The sequence below is a fragment of the Homo sapiens genome, chromosome 6, assembly GCF_000001405.40.
Source record: "Homo sapiens chromosome 6, GRCh38.p14 Primary Assembly".
NCBI classification, from domain to species: domain Eukaryota; kingdom Metazoa; phylum Chordata; class Mammalia; order Primates; family Hominidae; genus Homo; species Homo sapiens.
This window is the reverse complement of record NC_000006.12, coordinates 49,564,422-49,588,204: the sequence shown is the minus strand read 5'-3', so window position 1 is coordinate 49,588,204 and position 23,783 is coordinate 49,564,422. Positions and strand designations below refer to the sequence as shown.

The following is a 23,783-nucleotide window of genomic DNA, read 5'->3' as shown; positions in this document are numbered from 1 at the left end:
TCCTCTTGCCTCAATCTCATAAAGTACTGAAATTACAGGCATGAGCCACCACACTCAACCTCGTTTTTTTTTTAACATTCTTCCTTTCTCTCTTCTTTTTCCTCTTTCATTGCACTAGAAATCATCTCTTTCTTTCATTTCTACTTCTTCTTTTTTTTTCTTTGTTATTGCCCAGCTGTCAGGAAAATACTATCTCCCCTTACTCCCATTTTACCCTTTCCACACCCTTGTAATCTCAGGCCTGAGCATAGAACATCAAGCCCCTCTTCCTGAGGAAGAACCCTGAGGCCTAAGTCAACTAGCAGGCCCTCTAAGAATGTTTTTGGCATGTTTGTGCCTTACCTATTCTAAAGTCATTTAAGGCAATAATATTTACATTGATCAGATGATCTGGTTAAAAATTTTAAACTCAACTCAGAGAATGACCTATTTCTTAACATTTTTGTCATTTTTGATTTAAATTTAAATCTGAGTGATTAGTTTATAATTATTGACTGTAATTACAGATAGTGGTGTGAAAACTGATTTGTTTTCAGGCTGTTAGATATAAGTTCTGAATTTCTTTTCAAAGAATCAGTATGTCAGCATGTTCAATTCTTTGCCTTCTACTTTTAAACTTAATTTCCTTGTAAAGCAACCTTTTTCGATTACCTGCTCCATCCTGACTCATTCCGATTACCTACTCATCCCTGACTCATTCCGATTACCTGTTCTGTCATAACAATTTTTCCCGCCAAAACACCCTGTCATTCTCTTTAAATTAGCCAATTGGAATTAGTTTAGCCTGTGCAGTCTAACCCTAGCCAATAGGGGAATGACACAGCAGCAGGGGCCACGTTGCTACAGGGATAAGAACCCCTTCCCCTCCCTTGTCCTAGTGTGGCTCACCATTGCTCCATCTGTAAGGGCACACCTTTCTATAGAAGTAACTTGCCTTTCTGAGAACTAAAAAGAAAATTTTATATTCAAGTACTATTTCTTTTGCAGCACCGAAACTTTATTTATAACAAGGCTTTACCTGTCTTTGTTTCTGACAACAACTTTAAGCTACGTATTATACAATTTAAGAGAGTATGCTGAAAAGAAAAAAAAAAAAGAAGAAGTTTTTTCTCTGTTATCACACCACAGCAATCAATACAGAAGACTTCTGTGACCTCTGGTCACCAAGAAGTGTGTGGGGATTTCTCCCCACCAGCAACCACTCAATTCTGCAACAGACATCAATTGGGTGTACTCTAATTCAGTTCAATTCTGGCACTGTCAACATTGAGTTAGTGTTATGTCCAGATTGAGGGCTCAGTTCCATAAGACTGCCCTCCATTCCAGTACCAATCACAAGCCCCAGGTTGTTTTACCTTTGCTTTTGACCACAAATTGAGGTTCCCGTGACCTCATCCTTGGGTTTGATTACTTTGTTAGAGTAGCTCACAGCACTCAGGGAAACACTCACTTGTGTTTACTGGGTCATTATAAAGGATATTACAAGGACACAGATGCAGAGATGCATAAGGCAAGGTATGGGAGAAGGGGAGCAAATCTTCCATGCATTCTTGGGCATGCCACCCTCCAGGAGCCTCCACGTGTTCAGCTATCTGGAAGCTAAGTCCAATTCAAGGCCAGGCACAGTGGTTCACATCTGTAATGCAGCACTTTAGGAGGCTGAAGCAGAAGGATTGTTCGAGCCTAGGAGTTTGGGACAAGCCTGGGCAAGAAAGTGAGACCCCCATCTCCACAAAAAAATAAATACAAAATTGGCCAGATGTGGTGGTGTGTACTTGTAGTCCCAGCTACTTAGGAGGCTGAGGCAGGAGGATCACTTGAGCCCAGCAGGTTGAGGTTGAGGTTGAGGTTGCAGTAGGCCATGATTGCCTGGACAACAGAGCAACAGAGCAAAAACAAAACAAACAGCCCAGTTCATTTCTGTTTTTATGCAAGCTTCATTATATAGGCAAAATTGATTAAGTATTGGCCATTGGTCATCAACTTAACCTTCAGCCCGTCTCCCTCCATGGAGGTTGTGAGGTGGAGTTGAAAGTTCCAACCCTTTAGTCATAGCCTTGGTCTTTCCTGTGACCATACCTCATTCTGAAGCTACCCAGGGACTGCCAGCCACCAGTCAATTCATTAACATACAAAAGGACACTGATTACTTTGGAAATTCCAAGGAAATTAAGAGTTGTATACCAGGAGATGGGGATGAAGACCAAATAAATATTTCACAAAATCACATCTGCCTATGCAGAAGATGATGTGAGACTATACTTTACTCATCTAGGGGTTTTATCAGAGTTAAATAATATATACAGGAGTCCAATTTATTGACAAGGTCACCAATATGGGGAATAATGGGCATATTTTTCTGTATTTACAGATTACTTTATAACCCAGATTCCAATTATATGTAACCCCCAAGAAATATTCTTGAGAAAGTTTGGTATTCTGGTGTCCAATAGATGATATACTTAAGTTACTTCTTAAGTAAAACAATTACAGAATCATGGCTGATAGTCTTGGATGTAGTGAGAAAGAGATTAATAATAATAATAGCACATTTTATAAAGAACCAAATACTGGAGGGGTATGGAGGCTCACACCTGTATTCCCAGCACTTTGGGACACTGAGGTGGGCAGATCACTTGAGGTCAGAAGTTCAAGACCAGCCTGACCAACACGGTGAAACCCCACCTCTACTAAAGATACTAAAATTAGCCAGGCGTGGTGGTGAGTGCCTATAATCCCAGCTACTTGGGAGGCTGAGACAGGAGAATAACTTGAACATGGGAGGCGGAGGTTTCAGTGAGCTCAGATGGCACCACTGCACTCCAGCCTGGGTGACAGAATGAGACTCTGATTAAAAGAGAGAGAGAGGGAGAACCAACTATTTACCTAATAATTTCTATCCGCAAATCTACCAAAGTAGGTCAAATTTTGGAGATCAAATTGCCCAGCTTTTAAGTTGGAATTTTGGTCATCTAATGTCCTATAATTACAGAAAACATGCCCAATCATTAACAAATATGGACAACTGGCCAAGAAATCAGATATATATATATACAAACATGTATTTACATAAGTATTGATAAATTCCCTAGATGAGTAATACTACATATTGAGTCATATAGAGTTTAAGTAGCTTGCTACAAGCAACATAATAAAAGGGGCAAAATTGAATTCAAATTCAGATCTTTTTGGTGCCAAAGGCCACATTGTTTTAGTTATGATGCTGAATCAGACCCTTCCTAGGTCTAGATATTAATTACCATGGTGTAATATTTTGGGATTAAGGGAAAAAAATTTGGGATCATACTTCAAGAATCCAGGCAGTAGGTTATGTTTGTAACATCTAAGGTTGCAGAAGCAGTTGTGATTGATATATGTCTATAATCAAGCACTGCATATATTAATATAAATCAAAATTGTATAATTAGTATTAAGGCATAGTTTTAAAATATGAAAAGAAAGTGCAAACAGAATTTTGAGATCACTTTCACATACCTTTCTATGAGGAAAAAAGTATGAAAAAGGCCATTAGAATAATAAACCATCTTCTTTCTCATCAACTTCAGCCCAAAAAATGTTGGCTCAGTGGTTGGTGCCCAAACAGGTTTGTGACCTCCATCATTCTCTACCTGCCTGTGCCTTAATTTTCAGTAACCATCCTGTTATGAGCTGAATTGCATTCCCCCAAAATTCATATACTGACATCTTAACACCCAGTACTCAGAATGTTCCTGTAATTGTATTTGAAGACAGAGTCTTTAAAAGGTAATTAAGGTTACATGTGGTCATATGTCTGGGTCCTAACCTGATATGACTGATATCCTTATAAGAAGAGACAATTAGGATAGAAGCACACACAGAAAAATGACCCATTTGATGACATGGAGAAGGAGACCATGGATAAGCCAAGAAGAGAGGTCTTCAGAAGAATCCAACAATGTGGACATCTCAACCTTGAACTTCTCGCCTGCAGACTTAAGATAAAACAAATTTCTGTTGTTTAAGCCAGTCAATCTGTAGCACTTCGTTTTGACAGACTCAGTAAACTAATGTATACTCTGTCTGACCTAAGGAATTCTCCAGGCTCTCCCAACTGCCTCCTGTTTCCAATCATGCATGTTACCAGGTTTATGTATATTTAGCCTATTGCTTCTTGCTTTAATTTCCCCTGCCTATTTAGAAACTTATATAATGGTGCCATGGTTACCAGGCCCTAGAATAGTATTAAAATCCATTTTTGCCTGCAGAATCTATCTCTTGGGTTGGATCTTCAGACACTGAAGCTCATGGCCAGTTACTGCTTATTTTACATCCTGACATTGCAGCCAATTCTAGTCATAGCACCTTAAGTGATTATCACTTAAATTCAAGATAAAATGGTTGTCATGAAGGACACTTAAACAACTATGAAAAGAGTAAAATGTTGTGATCAAAGTGTAGATTCTGGGGCCAGGCTGCCTAGCTTGGATCCCAACTCTGTCTTTTACTTGTTACGTAACCTTAGAAAGTTTACTTATTTCCATTTTCTCACCAAGGATGATGGTAACAATGCCTAATCTCATAGGCTTATTGTGTTTATTCTGTACATACACATAAGTACTTATAATAAGCAAGTATGTGATAAACTCATAAGTAGTATGTTAATATAAACAATAAAATTATATGTTATCAAAACTATATGTCTCAAGGATTACTCTCTATGCTCCATTAATTTGCAGGCATGACAAATTAAACTTCTCCCCAGAATTAACACCCAACCCCTGACCTGCCATATTTCACAGTCACACACACATACACACACACACAAACACAAGCAAGTTCTTAACTTAGCATGAATTAGAAAGAAAAAACAAACAAGTTTTCTTCACAGCTTCCTTAACTCTGAGATGATTTTTTTAATTTCCAATTGTTTAAATTATGAAAATAATACACATATATGGCAAGTATATGGCAAAAATTCTAATAGTATTAATTATTTTTCAAAATGACAAGTGATAGCTTCCCTTTCCTTTACCACCAGACCGATGCCCTTTTCTTCCCTAACAGATGTTGCTACGACTACAGTTTAGTTAGATCCTTAAAAAGTATACATAAACAAACAAATGTTTGATTTCCTTTGTGTAATTGAGATCAAACTATACACTCTTTTGCCTATCGTTTATATTTTCACGTACTATATTTTACAGGCCTTCCAACTTCCACATCTGGCTAAAATGTATTCGTAGGAACCAAACTTACCCTCCCACTTGAACCAAACCAACAAACAAAAATAGGAAAATAATATATGGCAAGACATTGGACATCAGGTAACAAAGCACAGTTATCCATGAAAGATGTGAAACAAATGAGGTAACGTCTACTATTTTCTCAACTTACTGCCTTATGAAAGTTTTTAGGTTGTGGTGCAGGAAGTGGCAGCCCAGCACATTCCTGAGCTGAGAATGCATTACTTTGAATCCAGAGAGACAGTACAGTTGAAGTGTGCAAAACAGATAACCAGAGAGAACTGTACACAGAAAGAACCCTTCTGACCCTTATGAATAAGAGTCCCTCAAGTATTCAGCAAAATGCTATTTAGTGTATGCATGTGGAAAGAACTACCTGAGGCCAGGGAAAGCACTACCAAAAAGAATTAGAGGGATTAGTGCCTGATATTTAACAGGGCAGGAAATAATAGTGCCTGTAACCACCACCCAGAAGAAAAATTCATAATTCATGGGGTATTGTGTAAAATACTCAGAAAGGTCTTGTCTCAGAGGTGAAAAATAGCCCAAGATGGCCAAGCATGGTGGCTCACGCCTGTAATCCCAACACTTTGGGAGGTTGAGGTGGGAGGATCGCTTGAGGCTAGGAATTTGAGACCATCCTAGGCAACATAGTGACACCTCATCTCTACAATAGATTTAAAAACTAGCCGAGCATGGTGGCACATGCCTATGGTCTCAGCTACTCAGGAGGCTGAGGTAGGAGGATTGTTTGAGCACTGAAGGTCAAGGTTGCAGTAAGCAGTGATGGTGCCTGTGCACTCCAGCCTGTGAAACAGAGGAAGACTCTGCGTCTCAAAAAAAAAAAATTAGCCCAAGACTAAGACATTTCTGAAAATGACTACCAAATCATAAAAAACAAGACCCAAATTAAACTGTTTCCAAATAATTTAATGTCATTGTAGAATAAAGTGCCAGAATAGTCATATAAATATAAAAATATTCAGTACTTGACAAAGTTTAATTCACAATGTCTGATGGCAAATCAAAGATTACCAGGCATGCAAAGAAGTATAAAATACAACCAATAATGAGGATAATCAAAAAATCTTAAATATATTGAGGGCTTCTTTGCCAATATTTAAAAGAAGTTCAAACCTTCATGATACTAAACTAATGTTCTCCGTGATTACATGAATATTTTATTATCTGAAAGATACAATGACTTCTGTGGGCCCTTAATGTCCTAATACTGTATTCTAAAATGTAAAATTTTAAATATAAACATGAGATAGTCTGAAGAGTTACATATTTGTTATGAATGAGTTTTATGTAATACATGATTCACAGAGTAATATTATACTAATCCAATAATTCAGTGAGAGCAGAATCTAATCCTTCATTGGTATCCTTTCAAAGTAAGGCCTGACCTGACATGAGGTGGCAACAGCAACTCTGGAGTTTCTATTCCTTCATGTTGAGACCATATTATCCCATTTCTAACACCTAAGTTGCCTTAGTCTATTCTAGTTTTCTATTTCTGGTTACCAATCAAATTTAAAACATCCTCCCATGTCTTTTGTAACTCTATAGAAAAATGTGGGAAAGTGCAAATGAAAGAAGATCTGGGGCTAGGACTGACACAGAAGGAATAATGTCACTTTTACCACAAATTTCATCATGAAAATATGTTAACAACCTTAGCAACACTCTCTTTCCTTATTTTTCTATAAAGTGTTAGCATCTGCTCCAACTTTTCTGAGAAACTTTGCTTGAGTGATCATTTTTATTTCCTTTAACTATGCACAGATTCACATATCTGTTAATTCAGTAAATATTTATTGAGCATCTATGTGCTATAACAATGTTTCTCTAGATATTAGTATGTATAGCACTGATGTAGAAATTTGACTATACTTCTTGGTAATTATTTATTTCTAAGTTTTTACTTGGGTAATCTTATGTCTGCTAGACTGCATTTTTCCCTGGCAAAAATTACTTTCTTTGCTATTGTTCATCAACTGATTAACTGCAACTAGCACGATATAAGCATATAGCAGGTAATCAATAATTTTTTATCGAATGTGTTGAGAAAATGTAAATAAAAACAAAATCTTCTCCCAACCCAGAAATCTTCTCCACAAGAGTAATGCAGAGAGAAAACACTTTCATTATTGAAGAAGCACTAAACCAGAATAATGTGTATCACTATCCACTAAAAGACTGCAAAAACACAAAGAAATCTCACTCTCTCATATAGCCAATCAGATGCAACCCATTAGATACATGTTCTCAAGATAAACAAAAACTAGTCCTTAAATAAGAGGACTTGACCGCACTATTTGTCACACCATTTATTCTAGATTCACCTGGCAATTGAGATGATCATTTATGTTAACTGGCTTTATAAAAAGGAAAAATAAATTTATCATCTCTTTGTGACAAGAGGTAGTTTTGCAACTTGAGGAAGTACCCACTGAAGTTAGGCTCCTAACCTCACATGGAAACTGAGAGATAGGGTGCTATCTCCTTTGATGTTTATATTTCAAAAAGATTGTCCCCAAGTCCCTGAGAAAGGCATTCTTGGGTCATAAAGCTGATTAAAAAACTATCTTGTTTTCAAAAGGATTTATGAACATTTCAAAGAGAAGAGGAAGTACTTGCAAAGTTTTTTAAAGTAAAATCTCTAAGTAAAGAAAGGAGAGAGGGAGAAGTTTCTTCTTTTATTTTCAACAGGGAGAATTTACCTATATTTTTAATTTTTACTTGTACTTAAAAATTAAATTTTAAAAAGCTTAGAAGTAATAATTTAAGGACATTTCCTTCATTATAAGGAATTGCCTTCTCTCATGGTGAAACCTGGAAAACTATGAGACGGTTCAGCTTGACCACCTTACGAAATTTTGGAATGGGTGAGTGGATCATAGAAGACACAATTATAGAGGAATGCCAGAATCTCATACAGAACTTTGAGTTTCACAGAGGTGTGTAGGGTAAATAAAACCATGTCTTATTTTTCATCAGAAAGAAGTCAACAAAAGATATATTTAATTGTTTATTTTGTCAAGATAATAATTTCAGACTTATAGAAAAATTCCAAGAATATACAAATAATCCCCAACTACCATTCTACTCTTCTCCAATATCCTCTACATCAGCATTTTACATTTGTACATGTTCTCTTTCTCTCTTTCTCACTCTCTCTCTCACTCTTGGTCTATGTATCTACCTATGTAATCTATATTATTTTTTCTGAACTCTTTGAGAGTACTTTGAAGAAATACTTTGCCTTTATTCCTATATGCTTTAATATTTCTTAACAATAAGTAAAAACATCCTCCTACATAAACACAATACAATTCTCAAAAATCAGAAAATCAGCATTAACATATTATCATCTAATCTGCAGATCTTATGCAGATTTTGCCATTGTCCCAATAGTATTCTTAAGAACAAAAGGAAATCTTAAATTATGATTGCATTCAGTTGTCATGTTTCTTTTCCCTCCTTTAATCTAGAACAATTCCTCAGTAATGAGTGTGTTTCTGATCCTTTTCCATAATAAATGGAATTAATTCTGCATTAGTCCATTCTCATGCTGCTATGAAGACATACCCAAGACCTGAGACTGGGTAATTTATAAACGAAAGAGGTTTAATTGACTCACAGTTCAGCATGGCTGGGGAGGCCTCCGGAAACTTACAATAATGTTGGAAGGGGAAGCAAACACATCCTTCCTCACAAGACAGCAGGAGAGAGAAGAATGAGAGCAGAGTAAAGGGGGAAGCCCCCTATAAAACCCTGAGATATCATGAGAACTTACTATCACAAAAATAACATGGGGGAAACCACCCTCATGATTCAATTCCCTCCCACTGAGTCCCTCTCACGACACGTGGGGATTATGGGAACTACAATTCAAGACGAGATTTGGGTGGGAACACAACCAAACTATATCAAATGCCATATTATGTTCAGCAATATATGGGAGGAACAATCTAAAAATCTCGTTTTTCATGTCAAGAGTTTTACTCATTTCCTCATTAAACTGAGCTCATTCCTTATTCAAAATGAGCTAATTTGATGCAAGAATTAATATGAAGTGAAATGATCAAAGGTAGACAACCTGGGAATACATGGAGATGAGAAACAAAGGACTCAAGAACTCATGTGTTAAATTAGCAGTACCTGTATGTTTAGAAAGAGTGGGTCTTGGCAGTTTGGAGGAATTACATACACAAAAATGACTATTCCTCCCCCAGTGTTAAACTCCTAATGCACATTAATTCCTCAGGGCTTCGTTTACACAGCTTTCCCCAAGCTCTCCCATTTGTATTGAAAAAGAAAATGTATTCTCCATTAGACTTCCCCTAGGCTTTCAGCCTCTACATTTAAGGTGGGCGATGACTTCTTTTTCCCCCTTTTTTTTTTTTTTTTTTTTTGAGATAGAATTCAACACTTGTCATCCAGGCTGGAGTGCATTGGTATGATCTCAGCTCACTGCAACCTTGGCCTTCCAGGTTAAAGTGATTCTCCTGTTTAGCCTCCAGAGTAGCTGGGATTACAGGCATGTGCTACCACACCCGGCTAATTTTTTGTATTTTTAGTAGACACAGGGTTTTGCCATGTTGGTCAGGCTGGTCTCGAACTCCTGACCTCAAATGGTCTACATGCCTTGGCCTCCCAAAGTGCTGGAATTACAGGTGTGAGCCGCTGTGACCACCCAGGTGATGATTTTAAGAGTAAATCTTAGCAACTACAATGCTCTTCACTTACAAATGTATCCCCATTCACTGATATGTTAAGTAATCTAAACAGTCTTTAATGATGCTGAGAAAAACACGATGCAGTAACAGGGGAAATTAAAACAGGGAGCTGCCCTGGATGAAGTATTTTTAAATGAAACCATTTCAATCATCTAGATGTCCTATTTTAAACTTGAATGCAGCCTATTAGTTTGAAGTGACATTTTCCCAGATATTATGCATTACCCATCCGCCCCCAAACACACGTGTATGCATGCACACACACACACACTCACACACACAAGCTGCATACAGACACACACACTACACAGGCACTAAAATGCCCTCATCTGGCACATTTTTGTTTCTTTAGCTAAACCAAATGCAGGTTTCCTTTGACATATAGTTTTAGTTTTCCTCGTGGCAATCTTTTGAACAAATTCTGGGTATTTTTCAAGGCCTGTTCAAGTCTCATCTCTCCTTGAAAATTATAGTCATCAATAATCCCTTTCTTTTATAAAATCCTTTCCTTGACAATATGTCCCAATCAGTCTAGAACTGGTTTAATACTGTATATGTTAATATTCCTAACTTGATTAATGAGTTATCTCGTAGGAAAGCCTTTTGAAATCAAAACAATAATGAATGCTTCTGTTGCTAAGATCATTGTATTAGTGTTGCTTGGAAAATGGTTTGACTACAAGACTCCCAGTTCCTGAGACTCTTAGCCTTGACTGGTGAAAATGTGAAATTCATTGGAGGTCTTAGAATTGCAGTAACTGTATCATTGCTATTCACTTTTAATTTCTCTGAGGTACACTTGATTGTTAAAAGTGACTATGAAAAAGCATTAGAGAATTGCTATTTCACAAATGTATGCTTGTTTGGAACATTCTGAGTACACAGAAGTGGTGTGCTTGTTTGGCTAACACATCTGCTAATTCTCCCCTCATAAAATAGTACATCAAGTAAATTATGATACAGGGATTGTGAATCCCACCAATATCACATGTAAGTTCTTATAATTCTGGCTACCTTCTACCTATACTGCTAGTTAAGCACAGAATGTGGTAAAAGCAATGAGTGAACAAGGAACACTCAATAGAATTCACTGAGGAGAGTGAATTTTATGAAGTAAAAAGTACGATTTATGTATGGGCCAAGGGAAAATTTCCCTTTTGCTCTCTGAAGTTTTGCTGAAAAATCAACCCTAAAAAACTAGATTTTGTGGAGAAAAGGCAAAAACATGTATACACTGGTGCCTTCAGAAAGAAGACCCAAAGACACAGGAGAAATTGTCCATTTTTATGATTTTGTTCAATAATTATTAGAGAGATACAATAAGAGTGTGTTCTAATGCTAACAGACAGAGTGAGGAAACCCAGCAGGCCTGTCTAGACTCCTCTTGGCCTCTCTGAGCAGCATTCCTTCCTCTTGGGTATGGGCAGGACCCTCTCTAGAATGGGAGTCTTATGACCTACAGTCAAACAAGATGAGTCAGATAATTTCTTTATGGCTAGCTTTTACACAGAAAGGCAGAGGGAAAAATTGAGTAATATTTTTAGGTTTAGGGCTTGTTTGGTTAACACATCTGATAATTCTCCCACCAAAAGTAGATTTTGGGCCGAGTGTGGTGGCTCACGCCTATAATCCCAGCACTTTGGGAGGCCAAGGTGGGTGGATCACCTGAAGTCAGGAGTTCGAAACCAGCCTGGCCAACATGGCAAAACCATGTCTCTACTAAAAATACAAAAATTAGCTGGGCATGGTGGTGCACACCTGTAGGCTGAGACACGAGAATCGCTCAAACTCGAGATCATACCACTGTACTCCAGCATGAGTGACAGGGCACACACACACACAAAAGTAGATTTTGCTCTTCAAGCATCCTGAGGTGCTCTGGCTTTGTGGAAAAGGGGTTCTAGTTTCTATGGCTAGGCTCAAGAGAGAAGGGGACTGATAGGAGAGGGTCAGAGAAAAACTTATGCTTCTGAGGCTGCTTCTGAGGCCTTCATTTCGGGGTATTATTTTCTGATCCCCGACAACTACCAAATACAAAAAACCATAAGTGCTAAATAAAACTTTAGTATTTATTCTGAGCTATAGAATTTCACAATAGTGCTAAAATTCAATATTTTATCATTGTGAGTGATAAAGTCACTGTCTTCTAGAATCTAGGAAAAAAGAGCCTTCTCAAATAGATTTCATTTTGAATAGCATCACTGACAACCATATTACTTCACTTTGTAATAATTTAGGCTCTGTTACTATAAATATAGACTTACTCTAAATACAGGTGCTTGGCAACCCTGAAACAGACAATTATACTGTTTAATTTTAGATAGGGCATTTTATGTTGGTTTATTAAGTCATTTGAAGGCTCATGAACTCCTTTGAGAATATGACTAAATACGACTAAGTACATAGACCCTATCTCCCCAAAACTGAATATATTAACAAACACAAAATTTAGCAAACAATAAAGTCCTTCCTGAACTTTTTAAGAATCAGTGAATATTAGATTAAGTAGTGCTGCTCTATAGGACCTGTGAATAGTAAGTCCATTATAAACTTTTTAGTTTTTGTGATCTTACAGAAGACAGTAGTGGTAAGATTATGGTGTTATGTACAACTAAAATAGTTTGATTGTTCACCTGCAATCACCCAGGATTTTGTAAGAAAAACACTTGGATTTATAGCTCTTAACATAAAGCCAATATTATTTTCATGCCCCATCTAACCTCTAATTAGAGCTATTGCCACAGGAATAACATACAAAATACTCTGGGTACATAGAACTTAGTGTAAGCCATATCAGTATTCATTGTAGGTTAGTTAATTCCAAAAATTGAGGAAATCTCATCTAGTTCAGTCTGCCACTGTTATTAGGTTGGTGCAAAAGTAATTGCAGTTTTGCTCCAACCTAATAGTTGAGGTAAAATTCAAGGTGCTATTTCTATAATCCTTTCAGAAATAATGTTCTTTGTATTGTCACAAGTTGTACATATGTATATTTAATTACTTTTTAAAATTATTCTTTTAGCTTTTCAATATGTTTCTTGTTTTGGGGTTTCTCCTAAAAAGTCATAAGACCATACTCAGAAATAGAGATGAGTTGTTTTCTTTTATAAGGATGGCCTTTCTAGATCACCATCATAAACTTGACAAAAATGATCCAAGAAATTTCACTGATGTCTTTTTGGTAACACAGCAGGAGCTCATGTTTTTTTCTTTAGAGGTTTCCATAGCCTATTTTTTATCATTTGGTTTAATAGCATCTGAAGGAAAAACATTTCTTTTGAAGAAAGATTACTTTACTCAAGTTACTGGTAATTTGTACACTCCAAATAATGCTATTTATTACATTTTACATTCTTGAATATTCCCCACCACATTTTATATCACTTTCTGAAAAAAAAACAAAACATACAGAAGATCTCACATGTGTTAGTTTTTAGAATTAATATTTTTTTCTCAGCCTTGAGAAATATTTAAATTGGCAAACCTGAGAAAAATTATTTAATTAAAATTTGTTTAAGAAACTGCTGGCAATATTCTAATCATTCAATTAAAACTAATTTCCCACCTTCCAAGTGGCAAACAGCCTTGCTCATTTTTAGAATTATGTATTCTGGAATGTGCTTTATCCTAAAATTCTTCACTATATTTGTATAATTAAAAAACTCCACTCAATTGATGAGAAAACGTAATGCTTTGTTTTTTAAATCAATGATAAGGTACTTGTTATGGTTATCCATTACAAAATTATTTCATCGGTGGTTCATTTTACTCTTTCAGGAGAATGACACATTTGCTGACTATTTCAGTGATAAAAAGTTGGTGACACTTGTTAATAATCTGTTCACGACAGGTACAGAGACCACAGCCTCCACATTGCACTGGGGAATTTTGCTCGTGATGAGATATCCTGAGGTCCAGAGTAAGTCTCCTAAGATTCTGAGCTTTGTCTGAAAGAGAGAAACCAGAAATCTCTTGGACTGGACAAATGCAGAATTTTATAATCACAGAGGGTAACCTGTAATCTGTACCTTGAGGATAGTCTGTATCTTTAGTTTCCCTTCGATATAAGAAAGTAGATTTTGCTCTTTAAGCATCCTAAGATGCTCTGAAGGCACCACAACGTGCAGGTTCCCAGAAGAGCTTTAGGAATAGAGGCCGAGAGGTGGAAGCAGTGCAGGGAAAAAATGAACCAAAATTGGAAGAACACTGGGTTTAATTTCCGCAAGTAAAGAAAATGTTCCAACACCCACTCCCAGCCCAGACTCTAAACAGTTTAATTCCATTTTAACCAGAAAAGGTCCACAATGAGATCACCAAAGTTGTGGTATCGGCCCAATCTTGACTTGCACACCGAACTCAAATGACACACACAGATGCTGTCATTTAAGAAGTACAAAGATTTGCTAACATTCTGCCCACAAGCTTATCCCATGCAACAACCACAAATATATTTAAAAATTACTGCATTCCAAAGGTAAGGCTTAAGAAGGGGAGGTAAGGGGAGAAAACTTCTGATGCTTACAATCACAGAAGCACTGAGATAAACTGTCAAAGACAACCCCAGCCTGCCTTTCCCTCCCTCCCCTCTTCCTCCCTTCCTCCCTTCCTTCTTCTTTCCCTCTCTTTGCTTCCTTCCCTATCATTCAACAAAAGGTAACTGAATGTCTGTGTATGCATGTGTGATAATTATTGGATGAATTAGTGGATAATTAAGGATGACAATTATTCTGTGAAACTTTATAAGACAGTATGACATTTTATGTTATAGTTGGGAAAACTGGGGTTCAGAGAGTTCCAGCAAGTGTCAGGAATGCATGGTTGGCCTATAGGGAGCCAGAGTCCCAGGTAAGGTGTGCTCCTCCCAGAGCCTGTGCTTTCCCCACACAGTCCTCTCGCTAGGGTTACCTCCAGGCTTCACTTCCGTCCTCTCACAGAGACACTCTCATGCCCTCTGCTTCCTAACATTGAGATACCCAGATGCACCCCTCTGATTTCCCCTGGTAAACTGAGGAATTATGTGTAGATATTTCCTAACTGAAGGCAGAAATTGCCATAAAGTTACATGGTATACCCATAGTGCTAATTTTTTTTCTTGATACCTAGTTTCCTCATTGCTTCTGGGCCCACCTCTGCATGAATCCACAAAATCACTGGTTATGTGGGCCTCTCCCCTCACTATCACTTCCTATTCCGTGGGGACAAAAAGACTACATCCATCTTTGAGCTTCTCTTCTGGGCACACGTTAAACACTGTTGGGCTGAATGAGTGAGATTAGCAATGAAATAGAAAACAAATATAAACTATGTCAAAAGAATTTTTAAAGACCATAGAAACAGTAATAGTGGCAGGATTGTAGTTCCACCCACTTACCTTGCTGTGAGCTAGGTTGAGCATTGTATTAGAAAGGGGGCCAGGTATGGTGGCTTACGCCTATAATCCCAGCACTTTGGGAGGTCAAGGCAGGAGGATCGCTTGAGCTTAGGTGTTCAAGACCAGCCTGGGCAACATAGCAAGACCTTGTCTCTACAAATATAATTTAAAATATAGCCAGATGTGGTGGCATGCATTTGTAGTCTCAGCTACTCAAGAGATTGAAGAAAGAGGATTGTTTGAGCTCAGGAGTTTGAGGCTACAATGAGCCATGATTGCACCACTACCCTCCAGCCTGAGTGACAGAGCAAGACCCTGTCAAGGAAGGAAGGAAGGGAGGAAGGAAGGGAGGAAGGAAGGAAGGAAGGAAGGAAGGAAGGAAGGAAGGAGAAGGAAGATATAGGGGGTCTCACTTATTTGCTACAGAGACTCAGCCACAATCATCTCTTTTTTTATTTGTTTTTTTGTTAGTTTTGTTTTGTTTTTGAGATGGAGCCTCACTCTGTTGCCCAGGCTGGAGTACAGTGGCAGGATCTCGGCTCACTACAACCTCTGCCTCCCAGTCAAGCGATTCTCCTGCCTCAGACTCCCAAATAGCTGGGATTACAGGTGCATACCACCACGCTTGGCTATTTTTTGTATTTTTAGTAGATATGGGGTTTCACTATGTTGGCCAGGCTGGTCTCAAACTCTTGACCTCAGGTGATCTACCCGCCTCGGCTTTCCGAAGGGCTGGGATTACAGGTGTGAGCCACCATTCCTGGCCTCAATCATCTTTTTTGTGAAATGGAAACAACTAGCACAGTTGCTATGAGGAGGAGAAAGTCTGCACAATATCAGGATACAAATAATCACTCATAGATAAATAGACAGATAGTTTTTTATTTTTTATTTTTTTTAAACATAGGGTCACACTATGTTGCCCCAGGCTAGCCTTGGAACTTCTGGACTTGAGCGATCCTCATGCCTTAGCTTCATGAGTAGCTGGGACTACTGGTGTGCACCATCACACCCAGCCTAAAGTTTTAAAACAGAACATTTTAAAGCAGTTGTTTGCTTTTTGTAATTTGAAAAACTATACAGATTCATGTTGTAAAACAGCTAATCACCAAGATAGTATTACAAAGCCTTCTTAAAGAGGCCACTGTAGGGCCAGGCATGGCAGCTCATACCTGTAATACCAGCACTTTGGGAGGCCGAGGTGGGTGGATCACTTGAGGCCAGGGGTTCGAGACCAGCGTGGCCAACGTGGTGAACCCCATCTCTTTATGGTATTAAAAATACCGAAAAAAAAAAAAGTAGCTGAGTGTGGTGGTGCACACCTGTATTCCCAACTACTTAGAAGGCTGAGGCATGAGGATCACTCGAACATGGGAGGCAGAGCTTGCAGTGAGCTGAGATCGTGCCACTGCATTCCAGCCTGGGCAACAGAGTTAGGCTCTGTCTCAAAATAAATAAATAAATAAATAAAATTTAAAAAGAGGCAACTGTAATGAACCAAAATGAAGTAGAGAATATTGTTCTTAATTTGGTGGAGAGATTTTGTTTTTTATCATTATTTTATTTTATTTATTTTAGTTCTCAGAATATCCTTTCCCACATCACAATTAAAATTACTTTCTCTTTTGTAGAAAGTTGTTTCCCAGTATGCAGCAAGCTCTGGAAGCAGGGAAACTTGTTTTTGAGAATGTTTGGAATGGGCTTGTTTGATTTAATATCCACTATCATAGTCACTGGAGATAAAAGCCAACCTTCATAGAGCCCCCAAACCTTCCAGGAACTGTGCCAGTTTCTTTCACATGTATCCTTTCCTCTAAGGCTCAGTCTCAGATGAAGACTATTTAACTCTCATTATACAAATATAGAAAGTGGGGTTTATCAAAAGTTAAATGACATGCTGTTATCACATAGCCACTAGATGGCTAAGTAAGAATTTGTTCCCAGTTCTGAGTCCAAGGCTTGAGTTTTTTAGTAAGCACATGAATAAACATGTGGTTAGGAAAGCGAATACTCCACACTAAGCCTCAAGTCCACCTGCCACTGTTCGGCTTCCCCTTCTTCCATTTCCTTCCAGAACACCCTGCTTCTGAGTAATTGCCAACCAAGATCATGATATGTCTTTAGAGAGTGACCTTTTTAGGAAGAAATTTAATCTCTGTTACTAATACGAACATTTGTATTTCTAGGGCACTGAGGTTATCATCTTGCTGGCTTCAGTAGCTCGAGATCAAGCACAGTGGGAAAAACCAGACACTTTTAATCCTGAGCATTTCCTCAACTCTAAGGAAAAGTTTATCAAGAGAGAAGCGTTCCTGCCCTTTCAGTGGGTAATGTATCTTACTTGAGAAAGGCGGTTTGAAAAATCTGGAGAGACTTAAGACTGTGCTAAGGTTTCGTACTTTTCCATATAGCACTAAACTTCAGAACTGGTTCTAAATTGGCTCTGGGACACTAGGCACTAAAGCAACATTTTCTAAGGGAATCTTTGAAGACTCCTTGTGGCTGAGGCTAGGGTAGAACCTCAGGAGTTTGAGGAGAAAGTTAAGCAACAGAAAGACAGTTGGCAGCAACTTTACCCCAACCAAAAAAGTTCTGCCTTAATAATATGTGTAAATAGAAGATTTTGTTGTTGTTGTTTTGTTTTGTTTTTAGGATTTCTTTGGGGAAGGTAGGTGGGAGGAAAGAGCTTTCCGCTAGTGTTAATTTTGAAATTCAGAGAACGAAATGAATTTGTTCCATAAATGTCTGAAGCCTACGAACTTGAAATAAATTCTCTGTTCCTAGCAGAGTCACAGCAAAGCTGCACCACAAGCAGTTTGTGATTTTTGGCCTTTCTGCTTATACAAACAATGGCTTAACATTCACTCCAGATATCCACTCAGTGATGGATAAACAGCAGCCACCCAAGAATAGTCTTTCTTCACCTACTGGTAACTAAGTAATAAAAGATACACAGTATAATTCAGTCTCCTGATTTTTACACACACACACACACACACACACACACACACACACACACACAAGAGGATACATGAGAAAATATTACCTGGATTAATGACTTTCAAGTAAAAAATGTAATATCACACCTGGAACAAGAATTTTAAAAAATGAAAAACAATCTGCATATAATTTGCAGTGTTATAAACTCGATGTCTCTCAACATTTCAAAACAACATTTTGTTTTTTCTAAAAAACAAAAGAAAAAGAGCCTAGAAACATAAACAATGGTCTCTGGAGTGCACGTTAACAACATCTGACACTGAGCCATCATTTTGTAAGAGAAGACATGGAGCAATAATTTTTTCATGCATAAAGTTTTTTTTTTTTTTCAGACTCTTTTCCAGACTCTTGGACTTACTGCTGTTAGTATTTGGAGGGAAGGAATTATGTTTTTCTTAACACTCCCTTTTCACTATGAACAATTCTTTTACTTTGTCTCTTGAGCTCTAATCAATATTGTATATAAGCTCTTCCTGGTTTCTTACACAACTGGACCTGGAGGCTTCTTTGTACTAAGAGACAAGTAGCAATAGTCCAGATTTTCAGAGTGGCTTATTCTCAAAGGATTTTGCTGTTTACTTCAGGAATTCTAAACTTCCCTAGTTATACTTGACCTTTTTTTTTTCTGTTTTAATCCAGAAAATCCAGTAATAATACTATTTTTATTTTAGGCAAAAATGCATACATATTCCTTTTTTTTTTTTTTTTTTTTGACAGGGTCTTCTCTGTTGCCTAGGCTGGAGTGCAGTGGCATGATCACAGTTCACTGCAGCCTCGACCTCCTAGGCTCAAGCGATCCTCCCAGTTCAGCCTCCCAAGTAGCTTGGATTACAGGTTCATGGCACCATGCCCAGTTAATTTTTGTATTTTTAGTAGAGAAAGGGTTACACCATGTTGCCCAGGCTGGTCTCAAACTCCTGGGCTCAGGTGATCTACCCACATTGGCCTTCCAAAGTGCTGGGATTACAGATGTGAGCCACCACACCCAGCTGGAAATATTCTTAAAATACAATCATCGTTAAACTGTTACAGTGAGAAAAATTAATATTATAAAACTAATTTTGTGTTTCAATCATGAGTGCCACAATCTCTTCAAATCTTCATATTCCTCTAGTGTTTAAGGCACTCTTTTCTTCAATTATTTCCTTAACATTTATTACTTACTGCATTCAGATAGAAATTTTGCGAGGCAGACGGATCACCTGAGATCAGGAGTTCGAGACCAGCTTAGCCAACATGGTGAAACCCTGTCTCTACCAAAAATACAAAAATTAGCCGGGTATGGTGGTGGGCATCTGTAATCCCAGCTACTCGGGAGGCTGAGGCCGGAGAATCACTTGAACCTGGGAGGCAGAGATTGCAGTGAGCCAAGACTGTGCCTTTACACTCCAGCCTGGGTGACAAGAGCAGAACTGCATTTCAAAAAAAAAGGTAATTAATTAAAAAAATAAATGAGATCATCCTACTGTCTTCCCTTACTCTCAAGAATAAACAATAATAATATGTAATTTATCTTATTGGATAGCTAGACTCCTGCCATAAAACTGAATAATGCCTAAACATAGGGTACATAATATATACCTTAAGCTGCTTTATTTATCATCCAGTTGGATGACACCGCTCAATCATGCATTTATTTCTGGGCAAGTGGGAAAATCTAACCCAAAAAGCTAGATTAGGCCTTCCTTCCATGGGCAACCCCAGCACTCTATCTTGTAATACTGATAAAAATTATTTATCAGTAATTACTATTTAACTGGGCACAGTGGCTCACGTCTGTAATCCTAGCACGTTGGGAGGCTAAGGCAGGCAAGTTGCTTGAGCTCAGGAGTTCAAGACCAGCCTGGGCAACATGGTGAAACCCTGTCTCTACTAAAATTCAAAAAATTAGTGTGGGGTGGTGGCTCATGCCAGTAGTCCCAGCTACTCAGGAGGCTGAGGCACAAAAATTGCTTGAACCAGGGAGGCGGAGGTTGCAGTGAGCTGAGATTGTGCCACTGCACTCCAGCCTGGGTGAAAAAGTGAAACTCTGTCTCCAAAAAAAAAAACAAACAACAACAACAACAACAACAAAAAACTACCTATTTACTGTAAGATTCACCTATTACACAGCAAACCCCTTGAGAGCAAATCTCAGAGCCAAGCTCAAGCGACATTGACATTAAACATATCAATCTTGTTGCTATGAAACATACATTTGTGAATTGAATGGTTAGCTCTTATTTAACAAGCATTTCCAGGCACTATCTGCAGCCTTTCACCTCCCAAAAAGCTTGCTTTGTTATCAGACATAGTGAGAAAATGTTTCTCATTCTTGGAGTTAATCTATTTGCTGGAAGTCCTATATAAATAATGCTTTTTTTTTTTTTTTTTTTTTTTGAGACAGAGTCTCCCTGTGTCACCCAGGCTGGAGTGCCGTGGCGCGATCTTGGCTCACTGCAACCTCCGCCTCCCAGGTTCTAAGTGATTCTCCTGCCTCAGCCTCTGGAATACCTGGGATTACAGGTGCATACCACCATGCCTGGCTAATTTTGTACTTTTAGTAGAGACAGGGTTTTACCATGTTGGCCAGGCTGGTCTCAAACTCCTGACCTCAGGTGATCCACCTGCCTCAGCCTCCCAAAGTACTGGGATTACAGGGGTGACCCACTGCACCTGGTCAATATATCTGCTTTTAAATATTTTTCTGAGCTTTGAAGTCTTCAGTACACTTATCACACTTACCTTGTAAATTAAAGAAACAAAAACATGAAATCTAACTAAATTATATGCAACATTTTACTGACAAGCAGCAAGCAGCAAGTTTAGGATTTACAGACTATGGGAGCAGGAATGAAAAGACCTGGTTGGGTCTTCTGAAGGACTGGAAGTAGAAACATTTAATAATACTACATTTCAGTGCAGTAGGCTATCTTTGCTCTGTAAAACAACCACAAAGCTCATTAAACTTAAGCTGAAAAAAAATACCATTCTCAACACAATGTCTTAAGAAATACATATGTATAATCATTAAGACCACAGTAGTTTTAATAAAAACTTACCTAGAATGCTTCCTTCCTCAATTTTAACTCATTCCACTTTTCAGACACCTTGACATTTCCCAAATAATTCATGTTTCAATATAATACTAATCAAGTCTTTCTCCTCAAGGTGCTTTGGCAGCTTCTTAACGTTGGTTTCCAAGGTCCCGTGATGTAGTTTCTACTCATTCCTCTGGCTTCGGGTCTGAGAACCTAGTTCGCGCTCTATGCCCTAGCCAGAGTGAAATTTCTTCCAGCCCTCAAATCTTTCATGACCCCTTCCACAAATTCCCCATCTTTGCCTGGCCAACTTCTCACCCTTTGTATGAGAGTTTAGATACAAAGCCGTTGTACAAAGCACGAGCCCTCCCTGACTCTCCAAGCCACATTAGGCCCCTTTACTATGTCCCCTTGACACACTTGGCTTTACTTGTCATTAACATTTTTCACATTAAAATATGACCATTTTATTGTGTGTCTTTTCCATGGAGCTCATAAAGCAAAGCTGGCTTTTGTGCTTCGTTATGTATTTCCAGGGCTTAAACTGGAAGGCAGAGCTCATGAAGCTCAGGGAAAGTTAAGTGAGTGATCTACACATTCCAAAATAGAAGAAATCACATGTGGACTGTTTTTGTCTTTGTCTAGATTGTTTTTCAGATTTTTGTGCCAATATGTTTTATAACCCCCCAGCATGTCTGTGTCCAGGTCGCCGGATGTGTGCTGGTGAGTCATTCGCAGGAAGGAGCTTTTCCTGTTTTTCACCAGCCTCCTGCAAAGTTCACCTTCCAGCCACTCCCTGGAGTCTCCCATCTGGACCTGGACCTAAGCCTGGACGTTGGCTTCACCACTTGACCAGTGCCTCATAAGACCTACGCTCTGCCCAGGCCTAGGCTCTGCATATGCGCCGGAGCCTCAGTTCTCACTGTTATCTTGTCCGTAGCATGAATTTCTCCTTCCTGCACTTCGCCGGCCACAGTATTCTGCCAAGCGGTTTGAGATTATTTAGGTGGTCAGCTGTACCATCACAGAGCATTCTCATGTCACATCAGAATGAGTTCCTATGCTAACTGCTGTAGTGGAAACATCCTTACTGCCATCCTCCATCCAACAAATAAATAAAACATTTCACAAATAGAACCTTCACTTAGAGCTTTAGGGTTTTGTCTTTCAAACATGAAACTGGTCCTTCTGTCACCAATCAGTAGTTATAATTGATGTGTGTTTGTGAGGGGAAGGTACTTTATAACACTTTGTCCTGAGATCATGGACGTCACCAAAATGGCAATGAAAAAAACTGCAATAAAGAAAATTCAACTCTTAAGTGAGGATCACATCATACTAAACATGAGGCAATGGTTTTACTCTGTGAATAACTAAAAAAACAATGGTTAATAACAGAGAATTGTTTGGGCATACAGCCAGCTTGCTGAGATCAAAAGTATTCACTCCTGGCTGGGCACAGTGGTTCACGCATGTAATCCCAGCACTTTGGGAGGCCAAGGCAGGCAGATCACTTGAGTCCAGGAGTTCAAGACCTTCCTGGGCAACATAGCAAGACCCCATCTCTACTAAAAATACAAAAAAATAAAAATAAAAATAAAAATTAGCCAGGCTTGGTCATACACACCTGTAATCCCAGCTACCCTGGAGGCTGAGGCATGAGAATTGCTTGAAGCAGGGAGGCAGAAGTTGCAGTGAGCTGAGATTGTGCCACTGCACTCCAGCCTGGGTGACAGGGTGAGACTCTGTCTCAACAACAACAAAAAGGTATTCACTCTTTTTTTTAGCAAGGTTGGAACTTGAAGACTCCCACGTCCCTGTTTTCAGTGCTCTGAAGTCCCAGCAAAGGCATGAGCAAGGGACTCCTATCAGCACCATAAAGAAATCATTGTCAGTTGCTTGATACACAACTGATACACAAAGCATCTTTAGCCTTTATGAAATCAAATACTTCCCCATCATCAACATAAATCCTTCTCCCCTGCTGTTAGCTGATTTTTGTCAAAGAAAAAATTGCACTAGATAAAGTCAAACAAAGAAGACTTTATTTAAGGCTATTGCAACAGAGGAGAGAGGCTAGAATTGTCTAAATGCAACTCTGCTGAAACAAAGAGCAGAAAGGTTTAAAGCAGTGGGGTGAGCTATGAAAAAGTACTGAAGGAGGTTAGGGAGAGTTTCATCAGTAGGATGTGCCCACAACATTGTGTTACTCCTAACTTTACAAATATTTTCCCCTGTGATGAGGTTATCTGTGCTTGCTAATTGGTTCACGTTCAAATCAGGCTCCTACCCTTCCGCAGAGACTGGGAGTTAGGGGGGTTTTATCCCTTGATTACTACTTTTCAAAAAGATGGTTCCTAAGCCCTTGAGAAAGACATTTCTGGATTGTAAAACTAGCAAACTTTTTGATAGATTTACATCT

General features: G+C 38.5%; 1 pseudogene, besides 2 other annotated features; it reads left to right on the top strand.

Annotated features, from left to right (window-relative positions):
• Positions 1,923 to 2,424: an enhancer, noted in NCBI's record as "NANOG hESC enhancer chr6:49553494-49553995 (GRCh37/hg19 assembly coordinates)". NCBI's record gives its function as "activates a minimal SCP1, AML or CMV promoter by ChIP-STARR-seq in naive H9 embryonic stem cells {active_cell/tissue: H9 hESC(naive)}" and the evidence as "EXISTENCE:reporter gene assay evidence [ECO:0000049][PMID:30033119]".
• Positions 7,961 to 22,812, top strand: CYP2AC1P (cytochrome P450 family 2 subfamily AC member 1, pseudogene; annotated as a pseudogene).
• Positions 17,275 to 17,569: a silencer, noted in NCBI's record as "tiled region #6456; K562 Repressive non-DNase unmatched - State 8:EnhW". NCBI's record gives its function as "represses a minimal TATA promoter and a strong SV40 promoter by Sharpr-MPRA in K562 cells {active_cell/tissue: K562}" and the evidence as "EXISTENCE:reporter gene assay evidence [ECO:0000049][PMID:27701403]".